This window comes from Homo sapiens, chromosome 2 (assembly GCF_000001405.40).
Source record: "Homo sapiens chromosome 2, GRCh38.p14 Primary Assembly".
NCBI lineage: Eukaryota > Metazoa > Chordata > Mammalia > Primates > Hominidae > Homo > Homo sapiens.
The window spans coordinates 11,551,162-11,566,278 of NC_000002.12; the positions used below are offsets into that span (position 1 = coordinate 11,551,162).

A 15,117-nucleotide genomic window follows, 5' to 3' on the forward strand; every position below is an offset into this window, starting at 1 on the left:
GATCAGAAGGGCCAGTGGAAGTTAGGTACTGGTGCTGTGATTTGAGCTGACATGGAGCTATGTTTGAGGTTGATATGGTGAAACAAACCCACATCTGATCACCTCCCATGAAGCCCACCAGGCAACCAGTTGAATCTCCACGTAGAGAGTTTCCAAGCAACTTTTTGTGCCTCACTCTTAAAGATAAGCAGATATCAAAGGTCCTATTGAAAGAGTGTCTGCCCGGCCTCCTGCCTGCAGGTCTTCCCTCCAGTTTTATCCTAATCATTTCTGTCTGATTGACTGGCATTATCTTTACTATCATCGGTCTCTAGCTCTGCGGGTCCAGGGAGTGTCTGTCGCCTATACAATGTCTGATTTTCACCCTTGGGTTTGTTTTTGTTATTCTATCACTGTGTCATCTTGTAAACCATTTACTCTTAGGCAAATGAACTTACTTCTTTTTCTAGAGTATGTCTGTTCCCTTGGAGTTTTCGTGCCTTTGCACTCTCCTGTCCCTTCCTCAAATGCTGTTCTTAGTTTTTTTTCCAAAGACATCCTACTCAGTGGTCTAGTGGTTAGGATTCAGCGCTCCCACCGCCGCAGCCCGGGTTCGATTCCCGGTCATGGAACCAAGAAGTGGAGCAGGACGAGCCGTGGCCAAAAATATCCTACTCAGCCCTCCTGGCCTGCTTCCAGTACCAGCCCCATTGTAAACCAAGTTCTCACTGATTTCTCCCCTCTTTTAAGTTGTAGCACTTATGGACAATAGTGCTTTTTTGTCACTTGTCATTTATAATCTGAAATTCTTTTCCTGTGAATGCTCAGATTTAACTAGAAATTAATGATTACGCACTGACTATACTCCGTCTCTCTTACTGTCCGTAACGAGCAATCAGTTTTTCTAAGTGCCCATTTTACAGTTGAGAACACCAAGGCCCAGTGATTAAATCACTTTGCGTGGGGTTGCGCATGCTGTTTACAGACTAGTACAGCCAGGCTTTTGTGCATTAAGGTGAAGGCTGTTGTTCGGCCATCATCACTGCCCTGATGGGCACTGCTTCAGATTCTGTAGTTGAAGAGCATCACACACCAGCCTGGAGAGAAGCTGGTCCAGGCCTTGGAATGCAGGCGTTGGATGTGATGTGTTAGGGCGTGGAAGAAATCCCACAGGCAGTCTGCAGAGTTGAATAACTGCAGCAGGGATCTAGCAAAGAGACCACGGACAGAGAACGAGTGGTCAGGGCCAGCCCAGGGAAAGAAGGACCATCCCAAGGAGGCCTTTGATAGGTGTTGTCTCCACTCCATGCGGCATTTGGGAGGATTGAAGCTTTAGTGTGTGACCTTGAACTAGGCTCTTCCCTGTCTGGGTCTTTAGTTCTCCACTGGTCAAATGACGGATTCCAGTGGGTCAGAGAGCTCCAGATGTACCTCCGCGGCAGGACCGGTCTGGCCCAAACCTTCCTCACCCAGCAGGTGTGGCTTTGCAGTCAGGGTCTGTCTGTAAGATAGAGCACTGCCATGGTATCTAGAAAGTCCCCACACTGTTTGGTTGTGGCCACAATGGAATAACAAAAAGAGCCGCAGTTGGCCGGGCGCGGTGGCTCACGCCTGTAATCCCAGCACTTTGGGAGGCCGAGGCGGGCGGATCACGAGGTCAGGAGATCGAGACCATCCTGGCTAACACGGTGAAACCCCGTCTCTACTAAAAATACAAAAATTAGCCGGGCATGGTGGCGCACGCCTGTAGTCCCAGCTACACGGGAGGCTGAGGCAGGAGAATGGCGTGAACCCGGGAGGCGGAGCTTGCAGTGAGTCGAGATCGCGCCACTGCACTCCAGCCTGGGCGACAGAGCGAAACTCCGTCTCAAAAAAAAAAAAAAAAAGAGCCGCAGATTTGAATACTGTTGCAATGCCTCCTCATTCTTCTTTAGTGGTATGTACTTATTGTTCTGATGTCAAATGCGTCATTTGGGATAGGGAGTGGTATTTATTTTTTCTTTCACTATTTGCTTACAGACATTAAAACTTTGATGTTTGTTTAGGGCTATAAAATAAAGTTTTAATTTTGTGAGTATGAAAACTTTACTGGGCGGGCATGGTGGCTCATGCCTGTGGTCTCAGCACTTTGGGAGCTCTCTTGAGCCCAGGAGTTCGAGACCAGCCTGGGCAACATGGTGAAACCCCGTCTCTACAAAGAATGTGAAAATTAGCTTGGCATGGTGGTATGTTCCTGTAGTGCCAGCCACTTGGGGAGGCTGAGGTGGGAGGATCAGAGGTTGCAGAATCGAGATCATGCCACTGCACTCACTCCAGCCTGGGCAACAAAGTGAGATCCTGTCTCAAAAAACAAACAAACAAAAAACCCCACTTTTCTATGCTGTCTTGTTTTTAGCTTCTCTGTCTCTTTCTCCATCTTTCCCCCATTCTATTTTTTTTTTTTCAGCAAGCGTTTCTGCCGGCTATGTATCTCTAGATTCAAATGTATCATTTATAAAATGGGCTTCATCATACCTCTTCCATGGGCTACCATGTGTGTGAAGTAGGGAGTGTGCCCAGTGTCTTGCACGCAGTGGCTGGACAGTGGATATTATTTTTCCTTCTTCATTTTTATTGCCCCGTCTACATCAGGCCTACATGTCCCTTCGCTGCTGGAGTCTCCTGGGTGCCAATCAGCTGTGAGGTCAGCTGAACAGGACCTTGGGCAGGGAGGGTCTGGATGCCCCGATGTGTTCTTTCTGTCAGAGGACATGATTCTTCAGGGGCTCCATGTAAAACGAGTCCACCTTAAAGCTTCTTCCTGTGTGCCTTAAGCTCTATAGACAAAGATGCTATGGAAACAGAGGGCATTTGGGATGTTATTCGTTGGTGGCAGCTTTAAACACACCACCCTGAGTTGAGAATAATGCAGGTGTCCCCAAATGTGGCTGGCAACCCCTCAGTCACATATTAAAGTCTGCCACAGATCGAGAAAAAAGGCAGACAAGAGGACCCTGCAACCTCTTCTGCTCTCCTGTTAGGTTACTCCGGCTGCTGACCTCTCTCTTTCAGGAGCACTTTCTTTTTGTTGGGGCTAATTCCTGAAGCAATCTTCCCACAGCTCATTTCCCCAGGCTATAAGCAGAGGCTGACCAAGGGGCCCTGTGGTCAGAAGTTATTGCCACAAGCAGGAAGTGGTTAATGCCTTCCATTTACTTTTAGTTGGAAGAGGAAAGGCTGAATCTTTCTTACAATAGGGGCGGGAAATCAACGTGACTCTACCAGTTATTATACCTTCGGGAGGGAAAGCAGAACTCTTTCAGGGCATGAAGGATGACATCTTGAAGCTACTCTGCCACCAACAGAACAAGGACGAGGGGAATTTATTACACATGGCTTGAGTTAGAGTGAATGGGAGATCTCGCTTGACCGATGAAGCCAGTTTCATAACTGGTCTGTGTGCAGTAATTGTAGATGAAGGCAGGAAACTGCTATTCTGTGGTCATTTCAGTGCAGGCATCTGGTGCCATTTTGTATGTCAAATGTTACTTTAAAGATGAACAGGCTAGTAGACAAGAGACATACAAGGATATAGAACAGTTGAATAATCTGATTGATTTCCTTTCATCCCTTGTAGAGTTTACGAATGTCTTTTCTCATATCTGTAAAACTCCAGCAGGTATATGTCAAAAAGAAACCCTTAACAAGTTTCAAAAGTAGAGTTTCTAAAGACCACAGTCTTGATTATAATCTATTAAAAACTGGAAATAAATAATATGAAGCTGAAGTCACCCCCCATTGCTGTCTTGACTGTTTAAAAATTAAACACACACTCCTGTATAATTAACGGATCAAAGAGGGAATCAGAGGGAAATGATAAACTGTCTAGAAAGAAATGAAAAGGAGAACACTTCATACTAAACCTTGTACCATAGCAAAGGAGGTGCCCAGAGAATAACGTATAGCCTTAAATGTCTTCGTTGTTAATGAAGATGAAAACTAAAGATGACAATAAAGTAACTATTTTGAAAAGTTTGGAAAAAGTACAAGTTAAACCAAAGGGAAATAAAGAGAAATATAACAAATAGCTAAATGTAATGAAATAGAAAATAAATGGAAAACATTATGGACATATACACATTTAAATGCCTGTTCTTGGGAAGGACTGAAAATAGAAATTTAACCCTATGTATGATCAGGGAGAAATGTCAGAACAAATATCAGCATTTTCACTCAATGGAAGCAGCCATTAAAATTGTTCTAAAAACATTTGCAAGAGGGTTGAGCGAAATGCTTATGTCAAGGAAAAACAAAAACAATAAAAATGTGTATTATAGTATGATTATAATTATGTGAATACAATCTCCCATCCCTTCCCATCTGCAAGTTCTGAAGAGAATTAAGTCTAAAACAATACATCAAAATACGTGAGTGGGAATGAAGTATTGATTCATGCTAAACAGATGAATCTTGGAGACATTGTGCTAACGTTAGATAGAAGCCAGTCACAAAAGACCTCGTACTGAATGATTCCATTTATACAAAGTATCCAGAATGAGCAAATCTATAGAGACAGAAAATAAATTAATTGTTGCCTCCAGCTGGAGGGGTTGGAGGGTTGCAGAGTGATAGGTCTGGGGTTTCCTCTTGGGGTGATGAAAGCATTCTAAAATTGATCGTATGATAGTTACACGACACTGTGAATATACGAAAAACCATTGAGTTGTCTACTTTAAGTGGTAAGGTATGTGAATTATATCTCAATTAAGTTGCTACAGAAAAAAAGTCACAGTGGTTCTCTGTGATTTTTGGGGGGATAGAAAATAAATCTCTTGGGGGATAGAAATGTCAGTGATTTTCCTCGTTTTCCCACTCCTCTGTGATTTCCAGGTTTTCCAGATATAATTCTGTATTACTTGAATCATGGAAACATTTAGTAGATTAAAAAACATTTTAAAGGAAGAATGAGAATAATCAGCCTTTTACCAGCAAAGACAATGGTGGGAGACCTGCTAGCCTATCTTCTGGGAAGGTGGGGGAGGCCGGCTCCTCTAATCCTCAAATCTGGGACTGGTTTTGGTGGATCGCTCATTTGCCGTCACTTACAAGAGTGTTGGAGGGCCATTCGTCTGCAGGTCATGGAAAATGAAACGTCATTCGTCTGGGAACTCTCAGGGGCAGGACCACATCTCTGGGAAAAGTGGGAGTCCTGTGAAACCTGGGGATGGCAAAAGAGGCAGCTCCTAGTGAAACAGTCTAAGAGGTGTCAGGCTCTGCTGAGTGCTAAATTAGAGAAAGCTGTTACTTATATAACTTCCTGTAATTGCCCGGCAGTAGCTGCAGCTGAGGACAGCCACCCTTTCTTCGTCTCTGCTGAGCGAAGGCTACACGGCCCTTCCTCCTTGCAGCTGTTTCACCTTCTACCTTGCGTGGAGCCAGGCTTTTGCACCGAATCTGAGATGCCATTTTAAACAGAAGACTCCATCCTCTTGAAGATGGGAAATTCTTACGCTGGACAGCTGAAGACGACACGCTTTGAAGAGGTCTTGCACAATTCCATCGAGGCATCCCTGCGGTCCAACAACCTGGTGCCCAGGCCCATCTTTTCCCAGCTGTACCTGGAAGCTGAGCAGCAGCTTGCCGCTCTAGAAGGTGGGAGACGCACGTTGCTTTTATCTGTGTATTTCTTTTATTGTGCGCAGTTAATGTTAGCACCAGAACTTGAAACTCTTTTCTTTATGTAGATAACGTTGAATCTAGCAGAAAAGAATTATTAGAAAAAGAAAACTGGGTACAAGTTCTTACTTTGGCTAAAATGTAAATAAGTTTCAGCCATAAAATTGCAAGAAGTAAAATTATTCATTGAATCAGTAGGAGAAAGGAAGAGGACAAATTGTTCTCAATCGGTTGTTACTTATGCTCTTATTAGAAGGTTTGACATTTTCACTTGGAAAAGCAAGGAATTTTAACATGCTTTTGACCCTCAGCAATATATTCCTTTTCTTTGTCCTGTGATTTGTGGCTATATCTTTGCAAAGTAATAGTAGGTATGAGAACTCTCAGAAACTTTTAAAAACCAAAAGCAAACATTATAAATTTAATATATGCCAAGAATAAACAACTAAATTCTCTTCGGGCATAGGGATGACTTTTTAGAGTTTATTTAATTATGCAGAGATTGAAATGATTGTTTTTTATAGCTGTGTGTTTTCATTTCAGAAGTAACCCCTCAGTGATCCATAGTATGAGATAGCTCTGTTATGGAAGTTCTTTTTGTAAGTTGATGTCTTTGACTTGAAGTTACCCGCAGACTTCTCTTAGTTATTGAAGTGAAAAGGGGCTATACTTTAAAACAAAAATTAATAAACTAGAATTAACGAAGAAAGCACTGAGTGAGCCAGGTCTTGTGCTGGGGTGGTCTTGCTGTGCGTGAGTGTGTATGTGGAAGGGGATGGTTGGGTTGGAGAGAATTGCACCTAGAGAAGAACGAGGTGTGGAGGTGCTTGTCTTCAAGGGGCCCCACACTGAGCTTGTGTGAGATCTGATAGTTGCTTATTCTAGCAGGAGGCATTTCTGTGTCATTGTTTAAAACATCCTTACTAAATTAACCTTGCAAATGGCCCTTCTAAACCCCTGGAAGAACTGGATGTGGGTCTGAGAGAAACTAGACTGTGGTCAAAACCATGCATTAGGAAAACCAAGAATTCGCTGGCATTCACATCAAAAGCACTGATGTTTTCTGGCATGGGAGACGTCACTGTGATTTTATGGGGAGCCGAGAAATGGCTGGAAAGTATTTTATGGACTGTTTTTGGCCAGTTGAAAGACTTTGGTGGAATATGAATTACCTGGTCATCCTCTACATCTATAGTATTGAAGAGCTTTGTGGCTAATTATGGATTAATAATAGTGATATTGATGGTAATGTTTATTTGAATGATACCTTAAAATCCACAAAGTGCTTTCACCTCACAAGCTGAAGTAATTGAATTCTGTGATTTGGGAAGATGGAAGGGTGGCTTGCTGGAAGCTTGAGTGACTGAGCAGCAGTTGCATACTCAGCTTTGGCCAAGCTCTGAGATAAAAAGGGGACAGACAAGGGCTTGAGTAGACTCAGGGCTGCCCACAGCGGGAGAGAGGAGTAGAAAGCCCTTTGAGGATTCCAAATTAGCTTTCCCTCCTGTTGAAAGATCTTGATAGTTGCTTTCTGCCCACCTTTAACTGGGAGGCTGTGTCTGACATTCCGACAGCTCAGGGTGCCCTTATCTGCTGTTGGACATGTGGCACTGTCCAGGGACAGCGCTGAGGCTTAAGCCTTCATTCCTCCGGTGCTGCGGTTGAAGGTTCCCTGCCAGCTGTCAGCCGGCTTGTCCAGCTCCACGTTGGTATGAAAACTGGAACAAGCCCTATGATTTTCCCATTTGTCCGACAAACAGAAGAGAGAAGTCCTCTGAGAGTTTGGTTTTCTAGTGCAGGAAAACAAGGGGGCTGATGGGGCTGGTGGGAAGAGACAGACTCTTTTTGGTTTGCTAAATGTTACCCTAAACCAAGCACTCAGCTAGAGGCCCTGCTTTCTGCATAGTCAAACCTGGTGCAGACAGGCTTATCCAGGCCACATCTCGTAGTGTCTGTTTGTCGGGGTTTCTTATCTCATTGCTGGCCTTCTTCAGACAATGACATTAAAGATGGTTTTTATGACCAGGGTGCTGGTATACTGAACACCCCTTGATCTGTTAACATTTTATGTATTTGTGAGGGGGATTTAACAGGAGTCTTATTACTTTGTTCTTTGAATTAGGGCTGTTAACCTACCACCTCCTTTAGGGGAAAAACCCTTACACATTCTTGATTTTTTTAAAAAAAGAGAGATCAACAAAACAGACACTGTCCAGCATTTTGGGATAAGTATTTATTCATTAAACAGGATGTAGGTAAAATCCTGTAGTCCCACCCACTTAGAATGCCATAGAGTTTCTGCTCATGGAAAGAAAACACAATTGCATGTCAACATTAAAAGCAGTAGCCTTGTACGGAATGGAGGGAAGCGGCGCTCCAGGCCCCTGAGTTCCTGTGTTTTGTTATTAGGATTCTAAGCTCCCAATCCAGTTGGTTTTGTCTAAAGCCATTTTAGAGCTCTCGTCCTGCCAGGAGACCTGGGTAAACACGGCTGGTTTAGTCTGCTCCCGGGCAGGAATGTCCCCTCGAGCTTGTTGCTGGCGGATCTTCCCATCACAGCCCCTGGAATATCTGATGTAGACCTTTGACTTTTAATCCTGCTTTCTTACTGACTGGATTTTGAGCTCTTTCTTTGACCTTTTGAGGCTTACGACCCTTTTCTTTCATGCCTTCTGAGAGTCTGAATTGCCGTTCTTAGCAGCTTGGCAGAATCACATGCAGGCATTCCCGGGTGTGCCCTTGGCTGCGACGGTGCGGGCCTTGGGGGCTGCTGGTTTTAGTTCTCCTGGGATGTGTCTCCCTTATTTCACTGATAGTTGGCATCTGTGCCATCCCCTCTGAGCCTCTGTGGTGCTGGCTTAGAGACCAGAGTCGATTTTGCAGAGTCTTCTGTGTCCGACATGGAGACCTGTACTGCCTTGCTGGCGCCTGGGGTCTGGGCATGACTCTTTACACCTTCTGCTAAAACCACGCCTGCTGTATGTAATGGCAGGAAGAAAGCATCTGAAGCAGGCTCAAGAGTGTGTCTCCCTCCCCACCCCACCTCTGGGTAATCTCTTCACACCTTTCCTACCACTCTGTGTCCTCTAAGCCCAGGAAATCTGAGAGATCAGGAGTTCCTGAGTCACCTCCTGCTGTGACCTTCCCAAAGTCACGCTTCCCACCTGCTGGAAACGTTCAGCTTCTTCTGCCTCTTGTCCCACAAGCCCGTTTGAAATGGTCGCCATTGTGAGGCCATGTTTCCAGTATGCTCTACCGTTTAATCACATCTGGAACTCCCGTGCAGCTCTGAGGGCCACGTTTTTCCACACAGACCATCAGAACTCCAGGTGACCTTAGGGTTTGTCTGGATTAACCACCTCATTTTAAAGATGCAGGATCAGATGCACAGAGAGGTTAAGTAATTTTCCTGCGTCCACATAGGCAGTGGCCCAGGCTAGTATGGAAACTTGAGCTCCCTGATTTCCAGTCCAATCTCTTTCTACTACACATGATTTCATCATTAACCTAGGTTGCTTAGCCCTCTGGATGGATGGACGGTGTTAGAGCCAAGTTAAGTGAGAGTTTGAGACTTGACAGCAAATAAACCAACACTGGAGGAGAAGACAAAGAAATAAGAAGCGGGCCGGGCATGGTGGCTCGTGCCTATAATCTCAGCACTTTGGGAGGCCGAGGCGGGTGGATCACCTGAGATCAGGAGTTTGAGACCAGCCTGGCCAACATGGTGAAACCCCATCTCTACTAAAAATACAAAAATTCGTTGGGCGTAATGGTAGGTGCCTGTAATTCCAGCTACTTGGGAGGCTGAGGCAGGAGAATCGCTTGAACCCGGGAGGCGGAGATTGCAGTGAGCTGAGATCGCACCATTTTACTCCAGTGTGGGTGACAAGAAAGAAACTCCATCTCAAAAAAAAAAAGAAATAAGCGAAGAGTGCCTGTATCCTGGCCCAGTGTGTTTAAGGATGTTCATAATGACCCTGTTCCCTGAAGAACTCTGTATGCTATTTATTAAATGACATTTAAAGATAGAGAAGTTGAGAAAGATTTTTACCCCAAATGTCTAACTTACAAGAAGTTGGCAGGACTAAATTTCAACAGCCTGAGATCCTGCCTTCTCCAGCAGTGCTTAGTGAATAAGGTACGATTCTGTGTACCCAGAGCCACTGGGCTGCCCAACACACAGTCATAATTAGCTTCCTTGTGGGGTGCCTAGAATACAGGGATGAGTGAGGGCACAGATCCTGCCTGCCGGAGCTGAGAGAATTTCATTTCCCTGTAGTGACAGAGTGTGTGTCCAGGGAGTTGCAGGATTTCCATGGCCACCCCTAGGCTCTCCTGACCTGTTCAACAGTGACCATTCCTTCTGAAATATTATTTCACTTATAAAAAGCTTCCTACATTGCTTCTCGGCCTTTTGGCTAAGACCAAGTGTAGTATCTGTTCTTATCAGTTTAAAAAAAGCTTCCTACATCCATACCATACCTGACCCTGTTATAGAATGGCTATTTGTATGTGTGTGTGTTTGTGTGTCTAGTAGTGTTTACATGCATTCTTCCCTTGGGGATATTTTTTTTTTTTTTTTTTTGAGACGGAGTTTTTCTCTTGTTGCCCAGGCTGGAGTGCAGTGGCGTGATCTCGGCTCACTGCAACCTCCACCTCCCAGGTTCAAGCAATTCTCCTGCCTCAGCCTCCTGGGTAGCTGGGATTACAGGCACACACTACCACGCCCAACTAATTTTTTGTATTTTCAGTAGAGACAGGGTTTCATCATGTTGGCCAGGCTGGTCTCGAACTCCTGACCTCAGGTGATCCACCTGCCTCGGCGTCCCAAAGTGCTGGGATTACAGGCTTGAGCCACCGTGCCTGGCCTACAGCACCTGGTATTCCCAGGTGGTCTCCCATCCAAGTGTTAACCAGGCCCGACCCTGCTTAGCTTCTGAGATCAGACGAGATCAGGTGCGTTCAGGGTGGTATGGCCATTGACAATGTGCCGTTTGACAGCTGTCTTGTATTGTGTAAAGCTGTTCATACTACCTATATTTTGTGTCCCAAATGAAGCAGTGCAGGTTAGGGGCAAGAGCATCAGCTTGGGCATCACACAGGACTGGGAACGTGTGGGCCATGCTGCTAGCACATAGTTGAATAGCTGTGGGCCAATTGCTGGATCTCTCTGAACCTCCATTTCCTGTTTTGTAAAATGGTCTTCATATGACACTATGGTACCATCTACACAAATATCTTTGGAACGCTACCATGTCCAGGCATTGCGCTCAGTCCTTATCAACCAATTCGATACATATTAAACCTCTAGTGTACGCGCAGCTGTGACAGATGGAAGAGAAATGAACCTGAATTTGGAGTCATGAGGCCCAGGTCTGTGTGCCGTGTGACCTTGGGTGAGTCATCCAACCCGAGCAAGCCTCAGCTTTTCCCTCCAGTAAAGAAGGTTGATAAAACCCGACTGACAGACTGTTTGTAAGGACAAGTTAATTTCGAACTAGCTAGACGTGCTGAGTGCTTGTTAAGGATGGGTGGAACCCATTCTGGATTAGTCCCATAGGTCCTGGGCTTGTTGAGCCTGAGAATGCAGGCAGAGGAAAGGCCCTGGGGGAAGCTCTGAGGCCAGACAGCAGCTGCCTTGCTCATCACTCTTCTTCCCGCATCTAGGTGGTAGCCGAGTGGACAATGAGGAAGAGGAAGAAGAGGGAGAAGGAGGGCTGGAAACAAATGGCCCCCCAAACCCTTTCCAGCTGCACCCTCTGCCTGAAGGATGCTGTACCACAGACGGTGAGCCTCTGCCAGCTCCTGGCCAGGCAGTGCCTGCCATGCTGCCCGGAGGCAGTGGCCAGGCGGGTGACTGGGCCTGTGACTGTGTGCTGCAGGGGTCCTCTTTGCTCTTCCTCTTTGCTTTCCCTGAGGTGTGAGCCATGCCCCTGGGCCCGCAGCAGGTGCTGGCCCGGCCTGCCCTCCTGAAACAGGAGCTCCAGAGACACCATCCTGGGATGCTAAGGCAGGCCTCTGTGCCACTCTTTGGACAGTCTCAACTTTACCAGTGGCTTGGGAGCCAGACATTCATTTTTCTGTGTTGGTTGCTTGGAACCTAGAATACATTTTCCCTACTCAGGCCTGTTTGCACAGCATATTGAACTCACAAGTGATTAGGAGGAATAATCTTTCTTTCTTTCTTTTTTTTTTTTGACGGAATCTCACTCTGTTGCCCAGGCTGGAGTGCAGTGGTGCAATCTCAGATCACTGCAACCTCCGCCTCCCAGGTTCAAGCAATTCTCCTGCCTCAGCCTCCCAAGTAGCTGGGATTATAGGCACATGCCACCATGCCTGGCTAATTTTTGTATTTTTAGTAGAGATGGGGTTTCACCATGTTGACCAGGCTGGTCTCGAACTCCTGACCTCAGGTGATCCACCCACCTCAGCCTCCCAAAGTGCTGGGATTACAGGCGTGAGCCCCTGGGCCTGGCTGGAATAATCTTTCATACCCATCAGTACGTCAATGTTGAACAGGCAGATACACATAATCTCAGGGACCCTGTACAGTCAGTAATGGTACAGTTTCACTGTTGAGGAACAGAGGCCTGGAGATGCTGGATGGGTGGCAGCTTAGTCCTGTGCTGAGAGCTTGTGCTGTGCACTCAGGCTTGGTGTACACCCCTGACTCTGCCACCCATGAGCCACACGACCTCTTTGCTAGTGAGTTCATCTGTCTGACACCATGTCAGTCAAGTGGGGAGGCCAGTTAGTGGCGAGAACATCAGCTTGGGCATCAGACACAACTGGAACGTGCAGGCCATGCTGCTTAGCAGATAGTTGAATAGCTGCGGGCCAATCACTGCATCTCTCTGAGCCTCTGCTTCCTTATTTGTAAAATGGTTTACATATGACACTATGGTACCCCCTATACAAATATTTCTGGAATGCCTACTATGTTCAGGCATTGTGCTCAGTCCTTAGTTATTTAAGATAACTAACTGGGTATTATTAAATTAAGCAGTAATTGAAGTAATTATTGAACTCTTTGCTCTGGAAATATGGAGATAAATGGGACGAGAGATCCCTGTTTGATGGGAGCTATACAGGAAAGTGGATACTTTGCACACAGTTGGGAGCAAGCAGGGGTGCATGGAGCAGAGGAGGGGCTCTAACGCAGGTAGAGAGTTTTGGGAAGGCTTCCTGGAGGAGGTGGCCCTTTGGGTTTTGGAGGATTAGTACGAGTCAGCCAGGAGACTGTGGAGGGGTTGGAGGAAGCTGGGAAGTTCCAGACAGAGGGAACAGCATGTGCAAAGGCTTAGTGGGTGAAATTACAGCTCATTTGGAGGAACTACTAGCAGATTATTTACGTAGGGGCCTGAGGTGTGGCAGAGCCAGGCTTGGAGGAGTGATGAGACGTGGTGTGAAGGCCCCATGTGTTCTGCCTTGGGGACTGGACTTGACCCTGAGCATGATGACTGGGAGGGGAGGGACTCGGCCCTCGATGGGCTGCTCTTCCAGGCAAGGGGAAGGCAATATGGTGGCTCTTAGTGAGGTAGGACTTATAGTGTCCAAATATTTAAAAGGCCACTGAATTAAATGGTAAGAGGTGAACTCTTCAGCCAGGCATGGTGGCACAAGTAGTCAAGTCCCAGCTACCGGGAGGCTGAGGCAGGAGGATTGCTTGAACCCAGACTTTGAGGCCAGCCTGGGCAACATAGCAAGACCCTATCTCTTAAAAAAATAAATGTTAAGAGGTAGACTCTCCATTGGTCATTAGATTTTCACATAATTTCCAAATAAATACAGTAAACACTGTGACTACTCATGGCCTACATCCCTCCAGCTCTTCAGAAGGCATGGACCACACTGGGCTGGGAGGGACCTAGGTCAGAGAGTTAGGGGACCCCCTGGGGATTGACCTTGACCTCAGGGAATTGACCTCCCTTTCCCAAGCCAATGCAAGGAACTGCCCTGTATTAGTCCATTTTCACACTGCTGATAAAGACATACCCAAGATTGGGCAATTTTCAAAAGAAACTGGTTTCCTAGACCCACAGTTCCACGTGGCTGGGGAGGCCTGACAATCATGGTGGAAGGTGAAAGGCACATCACATGGCAGCAGACAAGACAGGAGAGCTGGTGTGGGGAAACTCCCCTTTTAAAAACCATCAGATCTCATGAGACAAACTCACTATCACAAGAATAGCGTGGGAAAGACCCACCCCCATGATTCAGTTACCTCCCACCGTATCCCTCCCACAATATGTGGGAATTGTGGGAATTACAGTTTAAGATGAGCTGTGGGTGGGGGCACAGCCAGACCATATCATGCCCCAGACCTGGGAGTCAGCTTGGCCTCCCTTCCTGGTCCACCTCTCTGTAGCTTGCAGCAAATCACTCAGCCTCTCTGAGCCTCAGTTTCCCTATCTTCAAAATGGGAACAGCCACACTTTGCTGCAGGTGATGAGATGAGAGCTTTGCAGAGCCTGCCTCACTGGTGCCTGGTGTGTGGTGGTGCTGGCCCCATGCCTGCCAGCGTCTCCCCCACAGGTGTTGCTTTCTCCTGCCCCCGCCCAGGGGCACATGGGAAACCACAGAGCAAATGCATGGTGAGTGGGGAAGCACTGCACTCAGGAGGAAAGTCTTCATGACCTCCTGTAGAGCTCTGCTGGGAAGGCCTTGGCTCGTCAGGACTCCCAGAGAGGTCTCAGTCGGGAGCTAAAGCTACAGGAAGCACAGGAGATGGGGCTGGGTGTGCCCTTACCTGGGACAAGACCCTGGAAAAGCCTTATCCAAATTAGTCTCAGCTGGCTCTCTATTTTACCTTTCCCCTTGCCAGATGTTTGTAGAAATGTATTATTTGAATAGGAAATGTATTTACAAGCTCCAACACGCAAAAGGTTCTGAAGGGCATGGAATGAGAATCCCTGTGCTCTCGGCCGGCTCAGTGCCTGTGTCCTGGCCGCCAGTCCTCCCCATGACCCCCTAGCGGAAACTGACGCTATCAGATTCTCAGCCTTCGTTTTTCATGATGGCCTCTTTCTCATCCCCATAAAATGCAGCATGTAAAAAACATCAGAGGACCCTCAGTTTCTTGTGGATTTATCTTGTTTATGTTTCCGTTTGCCGTCATGTGTTTAAAATTTCTTCCTGTTGAGCTTCATTTGCACATTAATGTGCATCACATGGTGGCACCGATACACAAATAACGTGTGATCTGTGTCGTGGATAACTATGATTATATATATATATATATGAGATGGAGTCTCACTTTGTCACTTAGGCTGGAGTGCAGGGGCACAATCTCAGCTCACTGCAACCTCTGCCTTACGGGTTCAAATGATTCTCCTGCCCCAGCCTGACGAGTAGCTGGGATTGCAGGTGTGTGCCACTACGCCTGGCTAATTTTTGTATTTTTAGTAGATGGGGTTTCACTACATTGGCCAGGCTGGTCTTGAACTCCTGACCTCAAGTGATCCTCCCGACTTGGCTTCCCAA

At 46.5% G+C, this 15,117-nt stretch overlaps 1 protein-coding gene and 3 pseudogenes across 27 annotated transcripts in view, besides 1 other annotated feature; 3 read left to right on the plus strand and 1 right to left on the minus strand.

The window, feature by feature from the left end:
• GREB1 (growth regulating estrogen receptor binding 1) overlaps window positions 1-15,117 on the plus strand; it is a 159,901-nt gene that overhangs the window by 68,274 nt on the left and 76,510 nt on the right. For 26 of the 27 annotated variants that reach the window (XM_047446466.1, XM_024453251.2, XM_047446468.1 and 23 more), the window contains exons 2-3: window positions 5,293-5,610; window positions 11,302-11,421. In XM_047446466.1, coding sequence (XP_047302422.1) covers window positions 5,454-5,610; window positions 11,302-11,421 — 277 coding nt within the window. In that variant the 5' untranslated portion in view covers window positions 5,293-5,453. The remainder of the gene's footprint in view (window positions 1-5,292; window positions 5,611-11,301; window positions 11,422-15,117) is intronic. The other variant, NM_033090.3, reaches the window with a different exon arrangement.
• On the plus strand, window positions 540-611 carry TRG-CCC7-1 (tRNA-Gly (CCC) 7-1; annotated as a pseudogene).
• Window positions 7,904-8,622: an enhancer, noted in NCBI's record as "NANOG-H3K27ac-H3K4me1 hESC enhancer chr2:11699191-11699909 (GRCh37/hg19 assembly coordinates)". NCBI's record gives its function as "activates a minimal SCP1, AML or CMV promoter by ChIP-STARR-seq in primed H9 embryonic stem cells {active_cell/tissue: H9 hESC(primed)}" and the evidence as "EXISTENCE:reporter gene assay evidence [ECO:0000049][PMID:30033119]".
• RNU2-13P (RNA, U2 small nuclear 13, pseudogene) lies at window positions 10,033-10,145 on the plus strand (annotated as a pseudogene).
• Window positions 10,500-10,618, minus strand: RNA5SP85 (RNA, 5S ribosomal pseudogene 85; annotated as a pseudogene).